This window comes from Homo sapiens, chromosome 6, assembly GCF_000001405.40.
Source record: "Homo sapiens chromosome 6, GRCh38.p14 Primary Assembly".
In the NCBI taxonomy this organism is placed as follows: domain Eukaryota; kingdom Metazoa; phylum Chordata; class Mammalia; order Primates; family Hominidae; genus Homo; species Homo sapiens.
The window spans coordinates 139,937,601-139,959,158 of record NC_000006.12 but is presented as its reverse complement, the minus strand read 5'-3'; the positions used below and the strand labels follow the sequence as shown (position 1 = coordinate 139,959,158).

The 21,558-nt window shown below is 34.6% G+C and overlaps 1 annotated feature.

Moving 5' to 3' along the window:
• Positions 3,113-3,407: a silencer, noted in NCBI's record as "tiled region #3903; K562 Repressive non-DNase unmatched - State 23:Low". NCBI's record gives its function as "represses a minimal TATA promoter and a strong SV40 promoter by Sharpr-MPRA in K562 cells {active_cell/tissue: K562}" and the evidence as "EXISTENCE:reporter gene assay evidence [ECO:0000049][PMID:27701403]".

The window sequence follows — 21,558 nt, the reverse complement described above, 5'->3', positions numbered from 1 at the left end:
TTGTAAATAAGTGGTAACATTGGTATTGATCTAATTATACTGTTTTCCTTAGAAAGGAAAGAAGACTTAGACGAAATATTATGCCTTTAATTTGAAAGGCACGTACTCAAATCTCAAAGCTGGGAACTACACTGAATCTTTTCATGTTGGAAAAAGGCAAGGATGTAGCAATAAAGAAGTTTGGTTAGATTAAGTCAATGGATGGGAGTTAAATGTACAGCTTTTGGTAGACCCATAAAGGCATTTCTCAAAAATATTATTCACAAGTTCTGGACTACTATGGATGCCCAAGATCATGCAGAAAAAAATCATTGCTGGCAGCTCTCTGAAAATATCAACTTTCTATGATAACAAAATAATAATTTCCAATTTTATTCATCCTGTTCTGTGTAAGGATTTTTAAATGACTCTTCTACACAGGAAATCAATGTTAGTAGAAGTCTTTAGGATGATTTCTTTGGATTTCTGCCCACATCAATAATCTCATTCTCAAGCCCCTCTCTCTTCTCCTACCCGACTCTTAGATTCTTTATCCCCCTTAACATTTTGTGCATATATCTATCTTGGAAATTATATTTTTGTAAACTTTTTAATTGAAATATAAGTATATAAATCTTAAATGCACAACCTGAGAAATTTTTATTAAGTGAATATCTCACTGTAACCAACACCTAAATGAAGCAATAGAATATTACCAGAATCAAAGAAATCTCCCTCATTCTGCCTTCCTAAGAAGTAACCACTATTCTGATGTTTATCACAAAGATTTAGGTCTGCTTTTAATCTTTATGTGAATGAAATCACACAATATGCATTTTTGTGTGACTGACTTCATTTGTACCATATTATCCATTGAGATAAATCCATGTAGCATATTCCCATTGTGTGACTATACCAAAAATTTTCACTCACTCAACTGCTAAGTGGATATTTTTGCTAAGCCCAGTTTTCAGCTATTAGCAATAAAATAGCCATCAACATCATTGTACATATATTTTTCTGTACATATGGACACATTTATGTTAGAAATATATTGAGAAGTGAAAATGCTAAGTTGTAGGATATAATTATAATTTACCTTAGTAAATAATTTCAAGGAGTTATCCAAAGTAGTTGTACCAATTTAAACTCCAATCATGTATTAGAGTTTCAATTTCTCTATGTGTTTGCTTATATTTGGTATTGCCAGGGCTTTTGTTTCTTTGTTAAATTTTAGTTGTTCCAAAGAGTAGGTATTGGATTCTCAGAATGGTTATTATTTGCATTTCTCTGATGACTGATGATGTTGAAGAGCTATTTATATGCTTCTTGGTCAACAGGTTGTCCTTTTATGTAAAACACTTCTTGAATTTTTTGGTGATTCTTAATTAAGTTGTCTGATTTTTTAATCTTTGTTATTTTAAATTTCTTAATATGTTCTGTATGCAAGTGCTTTATTGGAAATATCTATTGCAAATAGATTCTTTGTGGTTTACCTTTTCATATTCCTAATGATTTGTTTGGATACACTTCTACTGCTCAATATTTCCTTCATAATGTTTCAGGGGGGTCCTTTTTGTCCTCAATTGAAACTCATTGCCTCATCCTAAATTAAGAGGGTTTTTAAAAAAATTTTTCTTCTAGGAGTTCTATTGATTTATGTAAACAAATAGATCTACAACTGGTATGGAAGTAATTTTAGGGTATGAAATATTTCCCTATGTAGATATCTAGTTGATAACTACACCTCTTATTTAAAAGAACATCCTTTTTTGCATTGTATTGCCATGGAAAGTTTGTTATACATTAGGTAACTATGTGGAAGTCTTTTTCTTTGATCAATTCCACACCACACTGTACTGAGTATTTTAACTCTATAAAGCTTGATATCAAGTCATGTAAGCTCTCTAACTTTCATCTTACTCTTCCTCAAGACTAAGCTACTCTTCTTTTCCTCTTTGCATTTTATTGTGAATTTTATAATACATTTCTCAACTCCTCCAAAATTACCTGCTAAGATTTTTATTGGAGCTGTAGTGAGTCTATAGATGCATTTGGAGAGAATTGTTATCTTTACAATAGGAAGCCATCCAATTTCTGAATATAGAATACCCCTCCATTTATTAAGGCACTTTAGTTTTATAGATTTTAATGTAGAACTATTTCACTCCTTCAGTAAAATTTATTCCTAGATATTTGGTGTGTTTTAGAAGATACTGTGAGCAATAAATTTTAAAATATTATTTTCAAATTGTTTACTGTTACCGTATAAAAGCACCTTTTTTTTTTTTTTTCCTTTGGAGACGGAGTCTCACTCTGTTGCCTAGGCTGGAGTGCGGTGGCACGATCTAGGCTCACTGCAACCTCTGCCTCCTGGGTTCAAGCGATTCTCCTGCCTCAGCCTCCTGAGTAGCTGTGACTACAGGCACATGCTGCCATGCCCAACTAATTGTTTTTTAAATATTTTTAGTAGAGATGGAGTTTCACGGTGTTGCCCAGGCTGGTTTCGAACTCCTGAGTTCAGGCAATCCTCCCGCCTCGGCCTCCCAAATGGCTAGGATTACCACGCCCGGTCAAAAGCACCATTTTTAGTTACATTTTCAAAAATTAAAATCAACTTTATTAAGGTATTATTTATATAACATAAAGTGTATCAACTATATGTGTACAGTTTGAAAATGTTAACAAATATCTATATACATATAAACGTGACCACAATCAAGATTTTTCATTGCTTCAAGAAGTTCCCTACTGCACCTTTGCAATCAGTTCTGCTATTCTTTGCCCCAGATATCCACTGATCTGCTTTCTATCACAATAAATTATTTTTGTCTGTTCTTGAATTGTATGCAAATAAAATCATACACAGTATACTTTTTTGTGTCTGATTCCTTTCACTTATAAAAATGTTGTTGGATGTTTTATTGCTGGGTAATATTCCATTCAATGGAATTACCAAGACTTGTTTATCTGCTCAAATGTGAAGGGATATTTTGGCTGTTTCCATGTTTGAAAATTATGAATAAGGCTACTCTGAATCTGTGGACTTCCAGCCCCAGCTCTGACACACAAACAGACTGGATGTTGTCACTTACATTATTACAAAAAATAAGCTGAAAATACTGAAAATAAATGACCTTTGATCATTGGAGAACTGAGATTGCAGGGCAAACAGGGATCACCTCAAAATCTGGGGCAATAGGTACATACAGAAAAGCACAGCTGAGATCTGTTTACCTGGAACATTTCCAGAGCCCAGAGCTTTATGTTTGCTTAGGGAAGGGAATTCCTCCCACTCCAGTTCTCGTCAGTCTTTCTGGCTCACCTAAGGGGGTAAAAAACATAGTTAACAGGGGTGAGGGCTTCAAACAAATAGACTGGGAATGCTATAGCCAGAAAAGTAAGCAGGTGATGTCAGGGGGAGAGGGCAGATATACCACTGGGGAAACATTTGTGAATATCACAGCACCAAGACACAAGCATTCTAAAAGACTGAGACTTAACCTTAAGGTAATCAAATGTTCCACCTTACCATCACACTAACAAGGCCTCAGTATGATAACAGCAGATTAAGGCTGGAAGAGTTGTAAGACACAAACTTTCTCTGATGGGGAGTACTTAGGACAGTCCAAAGTCAACAGGAGACTAAAACAAGCATACTACGATAATTTGAAACTCTGGCAACAACAGCTATAGCAAACATTAAGCACAGCCCAATTTCTCATACATAACATAAATCCATACATTTCTTTTATTATTACCCAATATAAAATGTCTGGTTTTCAAAATAAATTGCAAGGTGCCCCAGAAGACAAGAAAAAAAATTCTGAAGAGACAAAACAAGCATCAGAACTAGACTCAAATGTGACACACAGATGTTGAAATTATTAGACAGGGAATTTAAAATAACTAGAATTAATATGTTAAGGGCTCCAGAAGATCTTGCAAGACTAGATGAGTAATGAAAATTCAAAAAGAAATGTAAGAATGAAAACACTGTAATAAAAATAAAGAATATGTCTGATAAGCTCATCAGTTGATTTGACATGGTTTAAGAAAGAATCAATGAGCTTGATGATAGGTCAAAATAACCTTCCCAAATTGTAACGCAAAGAGAAAAAGAATGAAGGAAAACAATCAGAAAAAAATGCAAGAACTATGAGAATATATGAAAAAGTGAAACATTTTTAACTGGAATATATTTAAAAAAGAAAAAAGCAGAATAAGTATTTGAAGTAATGTTGGCCAAGAATTTTCCAAAACTAATGACAGACATAAAACCACAAATTAAGGAAGCTGAGAGAACAACAAGCAGGATAAGTAACAATAACAACAACAATAAAACCTCACACCTAGAGACATCATATTTAAAGCCAAAAAAAAAAATCATGAAGAACCCAGATGGTGAGTGAGGAACCTCACCTACATGGATACAAGAATTATAGTGAACTTCTTTACAAAAACCATCAAAGCAAGAGGAGGGTAAAGTAAAACATTGTAAATGTTGAAAGAAAAAAACACCAACCTAGAATTCTATATTCAGCAAAATTATCCTTCATATGTAAAGGAAAAATAAAAATACTCTCAGATAAACAAAAATCTGAGGGAATTTGTTACCAGCAGACCTGCCCTGAAAGAAACTTAAAAGGAAATTCTTGAAACAAAAGGAAATTATGTAGTTAGAAATTTGGATGTACATAAAGAAAGAAAAAACACTGGAAAAGGAATAAATAAAAGTAGACTAAAATATATTATTTACTTTTCTTATTTTAATTAATCTGAAAGATAACTGTTTAAATCAATAATGGTACCACTGCATTAGTGATTATATAATGTGAATAAGTAAAACAAAAGACGACAATGCTGCAAGGGACAGAAGGCAATAATTGGAAATACTCTTTTATAAGGTACTTGTTCCACAGATGAAAAGGTATAGTGTTACTTGAAAATAAATTTACATTAGTTAAAGATGTATATTGTAAACTCCAGAGGAACCACTAATGTTTTTTGGAAAAAATTATAATTGTTCCACTGAAAGAGGAGACATAATGGAATCATTCTATATGTCAGTTAAAATCAGAGAAGATTAAAAAAAAAAAAAACCTTCTGGCCACAGATAGAGAATAGTTACAAACATCACTTATATAATAAAAATATATCGGCCGGGCGCGGTGGCTCACACCTGTAATCCCAGCACTTCGGGAGGCCGAGGCGGATGGATCACGAGGGCAGGAGTTCAAGACCAGCCTGGCCAAGATAGTGAAACACCATCTCTACTAAAAATACAAAAATTAGCCAGACATGGTGGTGCATGCCTGTAGTCCCAGCTACTCGGAAGGCAGAGGCAGGAGAATCGCTTGAACCCGGGAGGTGGAGGTTGCAGTGAGCCCAGATAGCACCACTGCACCCCAGCTTGGGCAACAGAGTGAGACATCGTCTCAATAAATAAATATATATATATATATATATATAATCACATTAAATGTGAATATTCTAAATATGCCAGTTAAAACAAAGAGATTGTCAGAGACATTGAAAAAATCAAGACCTATGATATAGCTTGAATGTTTGTACCCTCCAAATCTCATGTTGAAATGTGCTTCACGATGTTAGAGGTGGGGCCCAGTGGGAAGTGACAGGATCATGGAGGCAGATCCCTCGTGAATGGCTTAATGCCATCGTTTTGGTGATGAGTGAGTTCTGGCTCTGAGTCCACATGAGATCTGGTTATTTAAATGTCTTTGGCACCTCCTCCCCTCTCTCCTACTCCCGTTCTCACCTTGTGATGCACCTGAGGCCCTTACGAGGAGTAGATGCCAGTGCTACATTCTTCCTGTACAGCCTGCAGAACTAGGAGCCAATTAAACCCCTTCCCTTTAAAAATTACTCAGCCTCAGGTGTTTATAGTGACACAAGAACAGACTAATACAACCCAGTTATATATTGTCTACAAGAAACCCATTTGAAATATAGTCAGATAGGTTAAAGGTAAAGAGATAGAAGGCATACCATCCTAACACTAATTGAAAGTAACCTTTTAGACAAAGCGTATTTCAAAACAAGAAAAATAATCAGGGATAAAGAGGGACATTACATAATGATAAAGGGGTCAATTCCCCCAAGAAAACACAGGAATACTAAATGTCTATGCAGCTAAAAGTAAAGCATCAAAGTATGTGAGGAAAAAACTGATGGGACTGAAAGGAAAAATAGACAAGGCCACTATCATATTTGGAGACTTCAACAACCTTCTGTCAGTAATTGATAGATCAAGCAGGCAGAAAATCAGTAAGAATGTAGTTGACCTGAACACACCATCAATCAATTTGAATATTCCTTCCAACAGCAGAAGAATACACATTATTCTCAAGCTCACATGGAATATTCACAAAGATAAACCACATTTAGTCCAGAAAACACATATAAACACATTTAAAAGGATAGAAATAATACAAAGTATACATTATCAGACAACCGTGGAATTAAAGTAGAAATCAATAACAGAAAGATAGCAGGAAAATTCCCAAATATTGGACATTAAACAATACACTTTCAAATAAACCAGGGGTCAAACCAGAAGTCTCAAGAGGCATTAAAAATATTTTTAAATTAATGAAAACTTACACAAATTTGTGGAAAACAACTTAGAAAGGAAGAAAGCTCTAAGATCAATAACCTAAGCTTCCACCTTGGGAAACTAGAAAAAGGATAATTTGTTAGTCACTAAAGTAAGCATGAAAAAATATATAATGATAATTAGAGGAGAAATCAATGAAATTGTAATCAGGAAAATAATAGAATAAATCAACACAACCAAAAGCTGCTTCCTCAAAAACATTAATAAAATTAATAACACTTTACTTGGGCTAACCAAGAAAAAAATAGAGAACACACAAGTTACCAATGTCTAAAATGAATAAATCTACTATAAACATTTTTGTACAAGTTTTTATAAAGACATGTATTTTCATTTCTCTTGTGTATATAGCTTTGACTAGAACTGCTGGATTTTACTAATTGTTATGTTTAACTTATAAGAAACTGCCAAAAGTTTTCCAAAGTGTTTGTATCACTTTACACTCTCTGAAACAAAAGACAGTTTTAGTCTTTGTCAGCACTTGGTATTGTTAGTCTTTTAAATTTTAGTCGTTATAGTGAGTAAATAATGGTATTAGTTTGATTTTCATTTAAATTTCCCAGATTAATATAGATATTAAGTATCTCATCATGTGTGTATCAATCATTTTTATATCTTCTGTTAGAAAGTGTCTAAGTCTTGCTCATTGTTGTTTTTTGTTTTTTTTTACCTTGGGTTGGACAGAATTTAATTTGTCACACTCAGTTAGTTATATGTTACTTTACATAGCTTAGCTCTAAATATTTTATATAGCCCTTGGTACTATTTTAAATAGTGTCCTATTTGCTCTTACATTTTTTTAATCTGGTTTTTTTTTCACTTTTATTTTACATTTAGTGGTACCCATGCAGGTGTCATATAGGTAAATTGTATGTTGTGACAGTTTGGTGTACAGATTATTTCATCAGCAACACCCAATAGGTGGTTTTTTGATCCTCACCCTCCTCCCACTCTCCACTAACAAGTAGGCCCTAGTATCTACTATCTATTGGTCCTTTCTTTGTATCCATATGTACTCAATGTTTAGCTCCCACTAATAGGTGAGAACATATGGCAGTTGGTTTTCCGTTCCTGTGTTAGTTTACTTAGGAGAACGGCCTTCAGCTCCACCTGTGTTGCTGCAAAGGACATGATCTCATTCCTTTTTATGGCTCAGTAGTATTCCATGGTGTATATGTACCACATTTTCTTTGTCCAGTCCACCGGTGATGGACATTTAGATTGATTCTAGGTCTTTCTATTGTCAATATTGCTGCAATGAACATATCCACTCATTTGTCTTCATGGTAGAATGATTTATATTCCTTTGACTATATACCCAGTAATGGGATCATTGGGTTGAATGGTAATTCTGTTTTTAAGTTCTTTGAGAAATTGACAAACTGCTTTTCACAATGGTTGAACTAATTTACTTTCCGACCAGAAGTGAACTGTATAAGTGTTCCTTTTCTCTGCAACCTCACCAGTATCTGTTATTTTTTGACTTTTTAATAATAGCCATTTTGACTGGTATAGGATGGTATCTCATTGTGGTTTTGATTTCCATTTTTCTAATGATTAGTGGTGTTAAGAATTTTTTCATATGCTTCTTGGCCACATATATTTTCTTTTGAAAAGTGTACATTCATGTCCTTTGCCCACTTTTTAATGAGTTATTTGTTTTTGCTTGTAAATTTGTTTAAATTCCTTATAGACTGTGGATATTAGACCTTTGTCAGATGTATATTTTGCAAATATTTCCTCCCATTCTATAAGTTGTCTGTTTACTCTTGATAGTTTCTTTTGCTGTTCAGAAGCTCTTTAGTTTAATTAGGTCCCATTTGTCAATTTTTGCTCGTGTTAAGATTGCTTTTGTTGTCTTCATCACAAAATCTCTGCCAGGTCCTATGTTCAAAGTGGTATTTCCTATGTTATCTTCCAGGATTTTTGTAGTTATCGATTTTACATTTAAGTCTTTAAGCCATCTTGAGTTGATTTTTGCATATGGTGTATGGAAGGCGTAACTTTTCAATTTTCTGCATATGGCTAGCCAGTTATCCCAGCAGCATTTATTGAATAGAGAGTCCTTTCCCCATTGCTTGTTTTTGTCAACTTTGTCAAAGATCAGATGGTTGTAGGTATGTAGGCCTACTTTATTTCAGGGTTCTCTATTCTGTCCCATTAGTTTGTGTCTGTTTTGGTACCAATATCATGCTCTTTTCGTTACTGTAGTCTTGTAATATAGTTTGAAGTCAGGTTACGTGATGCCTCCAGCTTTGTTCTTTTCCCTTAAGATTGCCTTGGTTTGGGCTCTTTTTTGGTCCCATATGATTATAAAGTAGGTTTTTTTTTTCTAATTCTATGGGGAATATCATTGGTAGTTTGATAGGAATAGCATTGAATCTATAAATCTGTGAATCTATACATACTGCTTTGGCAGTATGGCCATTTTAATGATATTGATTCTTCCTATCCATGAGCATGGAATGTTTTTCCATTTGTTTGTGTCGTCTCTGATTTCTTCGAGCAGATTTTTGTAATTCTTGCAGCGATCTTTCACTTTCCTGGTTACCTGTATTCCTAGGTATTTTATTATTTTTGTGGCTATTGTGAATGGGATTGCATTCTTGATTTGGCTCTCAGCTTGGACATTCTTGATGCTTAGGAATGCATTCTTGATTTTTGTACATTGATTTTGTGTCTTGAAAGATTGCTGAAGGTGCTTATGAATCTAGGAGGGCAGAGACAAGGGGGATTTCTAGGTATAGAATCATACAGTGTGCAAAAAGGATTAGCTTGAGTTCCTCTCTTCCTATGCCTTTTCTTTCTTTTTTTAGAATGATTGCTCCAGCTAGGACATCCAGCACTATGCTGAACAGGAGTGGAGCAAGGGCATCCATGTCTGTACTTTTTTTTTTCTTGCCCCGTTGCACTGGCTAAGACTTCTAGCACATGGCTGAGCAAAAGCAGTGTCAATGTTCATCTTTCTCTTATTAGAAAAAAAAATTCACTTTATTAGCATGAGGTATGATTTTAGCTGTACGATTTTTATAATTCTAATTTGTTATATTCAACAAATTACTTTCTAGTCCTAGTTTGCTGATTGCTGAGAGATTTTGTTTTGTTTGTTTTAAACAAGTGGGTTTTGGATTTCATCAAATACTTTGTTATATCTAGCAGATGATCTAGAAGTATCTCCTTTATTCTTTTAATATAATCTAATTTAACTTTGAATTAAATTGAGTTTCCATAATAAACTCCACCCTGGTAATAAAGTTTTATCCTTCTTATATATTGCTGATTTAACTTGCTAAAATTTTGTTAAGTATATTTGCATCTATATTCATGAGAGACATTGATCTCTATTTTTCCTTTCTTTTAATATGTATTCCTGGTTTTAGTAACAGAGCAATGCTGATCTCATAAAATCATATGGGACATGTTGCCTCCTCTTTGATTTTCTGAAAAAGTTAGTGTATGATTAGTATAAAATGTTCTGTGAAATAATTGATAGAATTCACTGCTGATGATCTTTGGACCTAGAGATTTCGTTACTGAATACTTTTTAGTTGCAAAAAATTTCTTTATAGGGCTAAGTTTATTGGATTTTCTCTTTTTGTTTTGGATTATCTTGGATAATTTGTATTCTTCAAATAATTTTTTCATTTTGCTTCTTACTCTTATTTCTCAGTTGTCAAATGTATGGAGATAAATTTGTTGATAGCATTAGCCTATTCATGTACATAGGCTGTTTTTATAAATCCTCACAGCAGGATTTATAGTGAGGTTCTGCTGTTTTATTCCTCTCACTGGTAACATCTGTCTCCCCCTGAAATTTTTCTTCCTATATTTACTAAGATTGAGATTAATCAATATCATTGAGTTTATCAGAGAACTACAACTTTATTTTGTTAATTTTCTCTATTGTTTGTTTGCATTCTATTTCATTCATCTCTGCTCTTATCTTTGTTAATTCTTTCTTGCTACTTAGTTTGAATTTCCTTTGTTCATTTTCTAATTTATTTCAAGTGGAACCTTAGTTTTTAAAATTTTAAAATCCTTTTTTCCTTTCTAATATAAGGATTTAAAGCATAAATTTTCCTCTAAACCTTACTTTATCGATAGCTCACAAAATTTTATATATTATATTTTGATTATCACTATTGATCAAAAATATCTTCTAACTTTTATTGTGATCCTTTTCTTTGTTCTGTCAGTTATTTAGAAGTGTGTCATTTAATTCCAAATATTTAGAGTTTTCTAAATGTTTTGTTGTTGATTTTTGAAAATATTTTGTCACTTTCAAAAAATATTTTATATTATTTCAATTCTTCTAAGTTTTGGAAGACTTGTTCTATAGTCTGCTATTTTGGTGAATGTTCACTACGCAATTGAAAAGGATGTATATTCTGTTGGTAGTGGTTCCCACAAATGTCAAAAAGGTCAAGTTGGTTCATAGTGTTGCTCATGTGATTTCTATCCTTACTGATTTTCAGTTTATTTGTTCTATCTATACTGAAAGATGAAAGTAGAATCTCCTACTGTGATAATTAATTTGTCTATTTTTCTTCAATTTTATCAGTTAAGATATATCTTTCTAAATTTCATATGCTTTGAAGCTCTTTTGAGGTGCATACACATATGGGATTGACGTATTTTATAATAAAATAGTCCGCTTCATCTCTGGTAATTTTCTTGTCCAAAGTCCATATTCTCTTATATTACTATAGTCATTCTACTTTTCTTATCATTAATGCAAAAATCATATATTTTTTACCAAATTTTAATCTATCTGAATCTTTATATTTAAAGAGTTGTTTCTATAGGCAGCATATAGTTGAGTCTTGCTTTTTATATCTCTGCCTTTATCTTTTGTGTTTATCCTTTGCTTTTTTTTTTTCTTTTTTTCTTTTTCTTTTTTTTTTTTTTTTGAGACAGAGTCTCCCTCTGTCACCCAGGCTGGAGTGCAGTGGCGCTATCTCGGCTCACCTCAAGCTCCGCCTCCTGGGTTCACGCCATTCTCCTGCCTCAGCCTCCCGAGTAGCTGGGACTGCAGGTGCCCGCTACCACACCCGGCTAATTTTTTTATATTTTTAGTAGAGAAGGGGTTTCACCCTGTTAGCCAGGACGGTCTCGATCTCCTCACCTTGTGATCTGCCTACCTCGGCCTCCCAAAGTGCTGGGATTACAGGCATGAGCCACCGCGCCCGGCCATCTTTTGCATTTTATGTAAGTCACAGTATGGTGACTATTTTGTAAGGTTTTATCTATATATTCTATTTTTCTTCCTTCTTTTCTTGTTCCCGGCCGTTTGGATTGTATACTTTTTAATATTCCAGTTCATCTCCACTATTGGATTGTGAGTTTATTTCTTTGGGTTTGTTGTTGTTATTGTTCTCATGATTCTTCTAAGATTTAAAGTATGCATCTTTTACTTCTCATCATTTACCTTCAAATAATATGTATCACTTCACTTACAATATAAGTATCCTCTTTATTTCTTTCCTCCCATTCTTTGTACTATTTTTAATACCATTCACTTGTACATATTTTACAAATCCCAAAATACCTTGCTTTTATTTCTTACTTTAAATAATTGATTATCCCTTAACATTTTTAACATGAGGGGGGAACTGTCTTTCATATTTTCCATTTATGACATTTTAAAATTAAATTTTCTGGCCCCAAGTTTCCACCTGGCATTATTTTTATTCTTCCTGAAAAGCTAATATTAACATTTTTTTGTAGCACAGGTTTATGGGAAATGAATTCTCTCAGTTCTTGTGTTCTATAACAATCTTTAAGTATCCTTAAATTTTGAAAAATATTTTCAAAATTCTGCATATAGATTTGTAGAGTTTTAACTGTCCTTCTATTGTCTCTTGCTTACATTGTTTCTGATAAGAATGGTTGGCTATTCTTATCTTTATTCCCCCTAAAGGTAGTATGTCCCCTTCTCTTACTGTTTTCAAGATCTTCTCTTTATCACTATTTCTTTTGTTGTTATCACGTTGATTATTATGCTGTGCATTATTCTGGACTTCCTATGTGCACAATCATGTAAAAATTACATTTTATGTCTCCCTTTACAGTCCTTATTTATATTTTTTCTTGCCTTATTACACTGCATAGGATCTCGTTAGGATGTTGGATAACATGGAAATAGTTGACATCTTTGTCTGGTTTCTAATTTCTTGGGGAAAAATTGGACTGGGAGCCCACCCATCTAAACTGCATAATCAAAGAGAGTTAGTCATGTGGTAAAGACATGGTCAACTATTTATAAGAAGTGACCATAGACATCCTTCATCATTAAAAAAGTTCTGTTATAATATTCTTATAATAGACAGCAAGTAATGCAGACACCTCAATTTATCCATCAACTACAATCATTTGTATTACAATAGAAAATTCACAGAGTAATTGTCTAGTCCAATATCCTCATAAAATGCTAGCATTTCTTGGCCAGGCTTGGTGGCTCACGCCTGTAATCCCAGCACTTTGGGAGGCCGAGGCAGGTGGATCATGAGGTCAGGAGATCGAGACCATCCTGGCTAACACGGTGAAACCCCATCTCTACTAAAAATTAAAAAAAATAGCCGGGCGTGGTGGCGGGCACCTGTAGTCCCAGCTACTTGTGAGGCTGAGGCAGGAGAATGGAGTTAACCCTGGAGGTGGAGCTTGCAGTGAGCCGAGACAGCGCCACTGCACTCCAGCCTGGGTGACAGAGTGAGACTCCATCTCAAAAAAAAAAAAAAAAAAAAAAAATACTAGCATTTCTTCTCTAACACGACTCATCAGTTGACATGAAGTCTTTATTTGAGTACTTCCAGGGATAAGAAGATGCATTTTATTTTATTTTTCAATCTTTTTTGTTTAGGAATATCTTCATTAAATAACTCAAAATCTGTATGTGTCCTCTCTTATTCAAACGTAGTGTTTCCTAGACAGTTCTTCAACCACATATATTACTTACAATTAGGAGTGGGCACATGAAAGAATCAGAGTAGAGGTGGGGGATAGGAGCAGTGATGTAAACAAAATAGAATTTTAGGACTCTCTCAAATAAATATCTTGACAGGTGATCCAAAGCTGGTGTAATATTCCTCAGTGTAAGGAACTCACACTCCTTATTTCTTACCATCCAAATCAAGCATGGTCCAAATGACAGTATCTACAATCTAGGTAGCTGGGCTAGGGAAAGACATAAGAAAGAAGAGGCTAACACTCTAAACATGCTGTCTTACAAGGAAGCTCCCCAGAGGTTGCCTTGTGACATTTCTGTTTAGATTCAACTGGCTAAAATGTATTCATCTGACCCATACCTCACTGCAAAGGAGCTTGGGAGATGTAGCAAGCATGTATCTTATAATACTTCCCATTGTTCTGTATTCCAATGATTCATTATTATACGGACTTATCTATTCTTTTCCTCCTACTTCTGTTTTTCCTCTTTCTGCCACAGCTTCCTAACCTCTCTCTGGTAAAAGAGACTATTCTGACTACTGAATACTTCTGTTGTCTTTTGCCCCGTGCCCTCTGCTGCCTACTCTTTCTGTAGCTCTCTGTCAACCTTTCTACCTACATCTTTGTAGACCTTAGATAGAAATCCTCTAAGAAAGTAGACTTTAATACCGTTACATAATTGGCCGGGCACAGTGGCTCACACCTGTAATCCCAGCACTTTGGGAGGCCAAGGCAGGTGGATGACTGGAGGTCAGGAGTTCAAGACCAGCCTGGCCAACAGGTGAAATCCCATCTCTACTAAAAATACAATAATTAGCCAGGTGTGGTGGTGCATGTCAGTAGTCCCAGCTACTCGGGAGGCTGAGGCAGGAGGATCACTTGAACCCAGAAGGTGGAGGCTGCAGTGAGCCAAGATTGCACCACTGCACTCCAGCCTGGGCAACAGAGAGAGACCGCATCTATTTAAAAAAAAAAAAAAAAATGCCCCTACTGGGCAGAGCTCTGGGATTAGTTCATAGCCCCGTATCCTGGCCAGCCTGGAGAGGGCTGCTTGCAGTTTGACATTCAAATTTTTTCAGGGCATAAAAATTGCCCTTATATTCCACATGTATGACAAAGGACATATTAAGAAGGACGTGTAGTATGGGTTTTGTTTAGTTTTCTAGACCACAGGCAATCTTCCTAATAGTTTTAGCATAGAAAATTGAAAAGAAAAAGACACTAATTTCAGCCTGTTAGAAATCACTAGCCAGATGTTGTAAAAAGAACCCCTAATGAAAGGACTCCCTGGAGAGTTTAAAAGTTTCTTTATATTCAACCTAATGCTCTTAAAAAGAATATCACGTTTCATTGACATACAAGGCATTCGAGTGAAATTAAAAGGTTTGAAAAACACCCTTCTCTGAATTGAAGTCTAAGGGACTGGTTTTGAAGTTTACCTATTTTCCTAAGAGGGTTTTTACTTCCCTCTGCCATAAACTGAATAATTTTTCCCAATTTGACTTGATGCCATTCAACATTTTTAATTACACCTATAGTTGGATGTTCGGTTCAGGTGAAGCTGAGTCAACAGTCACACTTTAAGTCTGTTAGGGCATCATGAAGCAAGCAGTTAAACTAGAAGTGAATCTAAAAGGCAAAATAAATATTCTTTGTGTTCAGAAATCAGGGGGAGGAGTAAAACAAAGTAATTAAAGAATGTAATTGGTAGATTTCATAAAAATCAGTAGTCAGTTATTTTCTATGTACTGGATTCAAGAAATAATTTATGGATATAATCTGGAGAAAAACAAATTTATAAAAAAAGCAATATTTTCAACTTGTTTTAAATAGACCTAACACAGTTACAACCTTATCTCTACAAGTAACTCAACATTTTCTTTTTTACATTTTTTCTAAAACCAACTAATTTGCAGTTATAGTTTTCATCCTGAACTGTTGCCTGCAAAAATGCACTTCCTGGTTATTCACAGCAAAATAATTCCTTTCCCCACCCCCTTCTGATTCTGATGTGATGAGGTAACTTTGAACAGTTGTGTGCATAACTCATTTTCCTCACTGCTGGAAAAACATTGAGTTACTTGGGGAAAGGGGGAAATGTTTTTTTTTTTTTTTTTTTTTAAACTCAACACTCAGACTTGCTGCAAGTTCATTTGTTAATGGAAATAGAAGGGAAATTTTCATTTTTTTTCTCCTTTACTTCAGCTCATTTAACAGAAAAGGGGGCTATTCATCTATAGCCATAGTAAACATCGCTTTAGAAGACTGCTTTATCTATACGGAAATTTAGGAGAAATAAATGATGGAGAAGCTATAAAGATTCAGAATATGATAAAGGCAGTGATGCTACTGAAAGTAGAGAACTTAAAGCCAAAATCAAAGAAACAGTAATTTGGTGAGAACATGTAACAATGCATGAAGTACTGCTTGAGTGACTTTTACATAAGGGCAGGCAGGTTCTGCCTACATGTTGAAAAAAAGCTTTACTGGTTTCCATATTGTTTCTCCTGGACCCTAAAGTGAGCCACGGATAAAATGACAGTAATTAGGATATTCAGTAGGCATTACCTGAGCTGACAACTCCCACAGGGAAGGTGGCAAATGCCAGGGCAAAAGCTAGGAAGTGACAGTGGCCTTTGCACAGTAAATTGAAACCTTTGTGCCAGGCCTCTGCTGATCTCGCGGGGGGAAAAATCACTACAAAAACTCAGAAAACTCCTTTACCCATTGAAGCCCATATTTGTCTCGGCAAACACTCATCTTCCTGTCTGTGAACCATTATCCCTCTCTGTCTATCTTTCCTCACACTTTGTCCCCTTCACATGCTTGCTAATTTTACTTTGGCCTTTCTCTCTACTTCCCTGAGTGAATTTCTTCTCACCGTTTTATGTATCTCATCATCTTAGGCTTTTCATCGTCCCTCTGTCCTTTGTGCTCTATAAATGTTTCAATGCTTACAAGTCATATGAGGAAAAGGAGAGTCCTCGGACCTATCAAGTAATCTAATTCGGTATCTCTCATCTCCTCTGCCCAAATGACTTGAGCTCTGTTCCCCTAACATCAGCAGAATGTCTTCAAAGAATTAACTTGCCTCCCAAATCAGCAAGGGTGAGCCCAAACAGCTGTGTCTGAGGATTCCACTTATGCAAGAATTCTGAAAAAATAAAGGCTGAAAGGGATTTTGTTTTAAATGTACGTCAAAAAAGACCAAGAGAAAATTAACTGTTGTTTCATCTTCTACTTTTTTAAAGCAGCAAAAAAGATATACATCCAAGGTCATTTCGTCTAAGGGTACAACTATTCCTCATCTGAACCTAGTAATTAACAACAATAACAGCACATAAACATACACAAGAAGCAGAATCTTTGTAGGATGGTAAAATCCTATGTCGTGGAAGCAAAGCTATATTTGTTCTCAATACATTATAATTCTTTGCAATTCCAAGTGTTCACATCTTGTTACATGCCCATAAACTTCCTACAAAATATTTCAACTTTAATACTGTGTCATTGTATTAGCTTATTGTAACATTGTTACAACACACACGAAGTAGTCCTCCCTTATCTTGGGAGAATATGTTCCCAGAGCTCCAGTGGATGCTGGAGACTACAGAGAATAGGCTGTCAATTAGAACATGTTTTCTGTTCTAATTGACATGTCTTCCATGCATGTCTTCCAAGCACAAATTTAATTTTAATTCTTTTAATCCTTAACTAAGCATTTAGCACACTCCTTTTCCGGACCCTTCCAGTTTGAGGTGGGACAGCAAAACTAGTACAAATATTTTTCTTTTATTCTTCTTCATAATTTCACAGATAGAAGATTTGTTCTCACTATAGATCTTAGCAACCTTGGCATGCCAATTTTTTTTTGTAACTAAGTCAAAAAACTTTTGTCTTTTCACTTAAAAGAAGCACTTCTCTTTGGCTTCTCTTTGGCATGTCTCAATGGCCAGTATCATTACTCTTTCACTTTGGGGCCATTATTAAGTAAAATAAAGGTGACAAACACAGCACTGGGATGTTGCAACAGTCTGATAACCCAAATGACTACTAAGTGATGGTGTCTATAGCTTCCTAGGTTTATCCTGTCCTATGAAGACTCTGCTGGTTGTGTGTGTGTGTGTGTGTGTTGTTGTTGTTGTTGTTGTTGTTGATTACTGGTTTAGACAAAGGGAAGATATAATTCCCAAGAGGAACCAAGGAAAACAGCAAGAGATTTCATCCCGTGTCTCAGAATGACACGCAATTTAAGACTTAGGCAATATTTTTGTAACTTTCCATGTAATATTTTCAGACTGCAGTTGACCGTGAGTAACTGAAACCATGGAAAGCAAAACTGCAGATAAGAGGGCACTACTCTATAAATGTATGTAAATTATTGCTCACTTCCTCTTTAAGAGGAATTTCCACAGCCTTGTACCCCTAATAGAACCTTCTATCTCTATATAGTTTACTCTGCCCAGGAACAACACAGTAATTATAGCTCGAGATGCTGAAAGAAAAATATGTTGGCCAAAATATCACCAAGCCTCTTTTTTATTTTTTCTTAACAAAACATTGTCACCACTTCTGCCAGGGAATTTGTTAAGAAAAAATGATGAAACGGGGTGGAAAGTGAGCATTCAGTGCTTCAGACCAGGGCACAGCCTCAGGGTAGACAACTTTCATTCACACTTGCAGCGTAAACATTCTCTAGTAGCCTGGTGATCAGCCTCGTGATCAGGCTTATGCATGTTCAGGGTGGGAACTAAATGTAAACAAAGATTACCAGAATCTGAGAAAATCAAAATCAGAGTCTTGACAATATCAGAATAATCCCTTCTATTAAAACCACGGTTCCCAGTTATGTTTCCAAAATCACTAGCGTGCCACAAGATGTAATTAAATGTTTTCTGGGTGGTGGGGTTGGGGGATGGTGAGGATTCATGGTCAAAAGCCTTTGGAAACAGTGGGTTAAACAGATCTCTTTACTATAGAACTTTTGTGTGTCATTAATACATAAACTCATTTTGAATCACCAAAAGGGTGATAAAATGCAATTTTTTCCAAACTAATTGGGTTATAAAACTCTTTGATGACAGAAAACATATTAACATTGTCCAAAACACAAGTGTCTCAAAAGACAGTTTGGAAAATGCTACATCTGAAGTTTAGTAGTCATTGATATTAATGGCTTTATTGAATGCTATAGCTATTCATCAAAATGATGAATTAATAGAAGGGTAGCTACATATATAAAATCAAATTTAGCTGTCACTTTCCTAAAAGTGTAATCGAAAAGCAAACAACAAATGTACTATTGTGCACCTGCACTCTGCAAAATAATATGAGCATCACTCAAAGTTCCTATCAACTTTAGAAACATATATTGTAATTTAGGAGAAAATTTTGTCTTCATCGCTTTCCATGTGCTTGTTTTCATAGAAGAAATCTCATATAAATAATTAATTAACTAATTGTAAAGCATTCGCATCTTAATCCTTCCATCTCTCTCTTGTAATACTTACAAAATATTTTAGAGATTTGTCTCAGTTCCGTTTTGTTAAAAGATGAATGAATGAGTAGAGAAGCCCAAAATGGAAAGATTGTTTTGTGTCCAAATGTTTATTAAAAGGTCACTCAATAAAAATTGCCTATACCATTTTTAAACTGGAGATGGAAAAATCATCTATGAGTGACAAGAAGCTTCTTTCCAATTTTAGATCGCTAGGATCTTTCCTTTCTGCATTTTTCCTACTTTATTGGCTTCCAATCTGAAAACTCAGGGTCTCTTTCAGATGTAGAGCTCCTTTACAAGCGATGAAATTGCTGAAGCAGCTTATTCTTACACAATAAAGCCTACATATAACATGTGTCATTCTATAACCCTCATGCTAATCCAAAATAAATAGAAATCATACATGAACTGAAATCTGACCTGCTCCTTGAAGCATAGCTCAATGGGAAAGCTGGGTTTTAAGACATTTACATTTAAAAGAAAGAAAATAATTCCTTTACCTTGAAGCTCACAGATAATTTTAGAAGTTTGGGAGACAGCTAAATTTTATCCCAAGTAAATTTTTTAATATCTTAATAGATGTATTAAAAATACTTTAAATTCAATAATCATGTGCTAATATCTGCAACTTTCTTTAAGGCTAAATAAATGGGGAAGCCATCTTGTTTTCCACATCACTGGCTCTAGCATGCTATAGAAGATCACCATGACAACAGGAGCTGGTTTGCCTGGTGTGAAGACAACAGTGTAGGCCTCATTTCCTAGATGCATGTTTCTACTAAAGTTGATTCACCAATTAAAAGACTCTTTTCTGTCCTTGGGGGCTTCAGAGATGCAAATAGTGTTGGAAAAGCTGGCTGGTCAGCTGCTACACCTAGTAACTCCTCTTGATTATCTAAAAATAAAATGACTCTTGTTTAATTTTTTTAAAAACTAGGTATTTCTGATTCCCACTGAGCTGGGAGTTAATACTCAAATTGAGAAGACTTGCTTGAAATTGTGAACTACTGTCCTTGTTATAACTTGTGATTACTCTTTAAATTCTTTAAAAAAGATTATTCTGAATGTGTTTTTAAGCATCCTATTATCACGTTATGAGATACACAGTAATGCCTTGTTAACTCTTCATGTCATTCATTATGTGAATAAGAAACAGAATGTCATGATGAAAGTTTAAGTAGATTTTTAAAAAGCATATAAAAAATGTGTGAGGATGACACAAAAGAAAAATTTAAATGTTAATCTGAATATATTCCTATAGAATATCTTTATGATTTAAAGCAAGAAAATATAAAGCAAGTATTTATTAAAGATCTAGATTCACAAAGAAGAATTTTCTTGACATTCGGGAGCTCAAACTACAAATGTCATTAATGAGTTTTTATTTAAAATAAAGAATTGTGTGTCTAGTTTAGGGACAAATGAAGAAACTACAAACTTTAACACAAGTATTTTAGAATAAATATACCAATTTTAAAACTATAGATTAGTATTATGTGTTGTATACAATGGTAAATAATGTTTGACACCTACCTCTGTAATGTACACTACTCTATGAATTTCTCTTTTTTGTATCAACTTAATAAATCCATACTTCAGTTTTGACATTTTACTGTCCTTAATTAAAAATGCAATGCTAAAAATATCCAAATTATGTTACTCAATATATTTATGATTTTTTATTAAGAGAAGATAGAAGAAACACAACAAAATTAATTTTCAAGTAAAATTACACATGTCTATTAATAGGCATATGATAAAGACAAATGTTATTAAACAGTGCTATTTAGGAATTATGTGCACAAATTAACAATACACGCTAGCCAATTTTCTGTAATGTGTTTGTATATTTAACTGTTTCTTTGTATAGCTAATTAAATGTTTGTTGCAAAGTCTCATGGGACGCTCATTTGCATATACCTTTTTATAATGGCTAAACACATTCTCACTAAGTATTGCCTGATGAATAGATATTTCACAAATGCCTGCCATGGACACAACAACAAACTATGGACACATGTCATTATTACTGTAGTTCAGCAGCACAACACTCCATGGCTGTCTCTGAATAATTAGACTAATTTAAAAATCACTCATTAGCTTATGAGTGGTAGCTAGTGTAGCATTGCATTTTAATTTTAAAAGTTTAATTAAAATAAAATTGTGTCCAGTTTTTTGCCTACTTAAATTTATATAGATATTTTAATATGAATTTACATGAAAGTTTGATTTTAGGAGAAAATTTCATATCAAATATCAGAAAATAAATTGTCAAATTCAGATATAAGCTGAAACAAAAAAGAACAACAGACGGCCGGGCACGGTGGCTCACGCCTGTAATCCCAGCACTTTGGAAGGCCTAGGTGGGCGGATCACGAAGTCAGGAGATCAAGACCATCCTGGCTAACACGATGAAACCCCGTCTCTACTAAAAATATAAAAAATTAGCAGGGCGTGGTGGCGGGCTCCTGTAGTCCCAGCTACTCCGGAGGCTGAG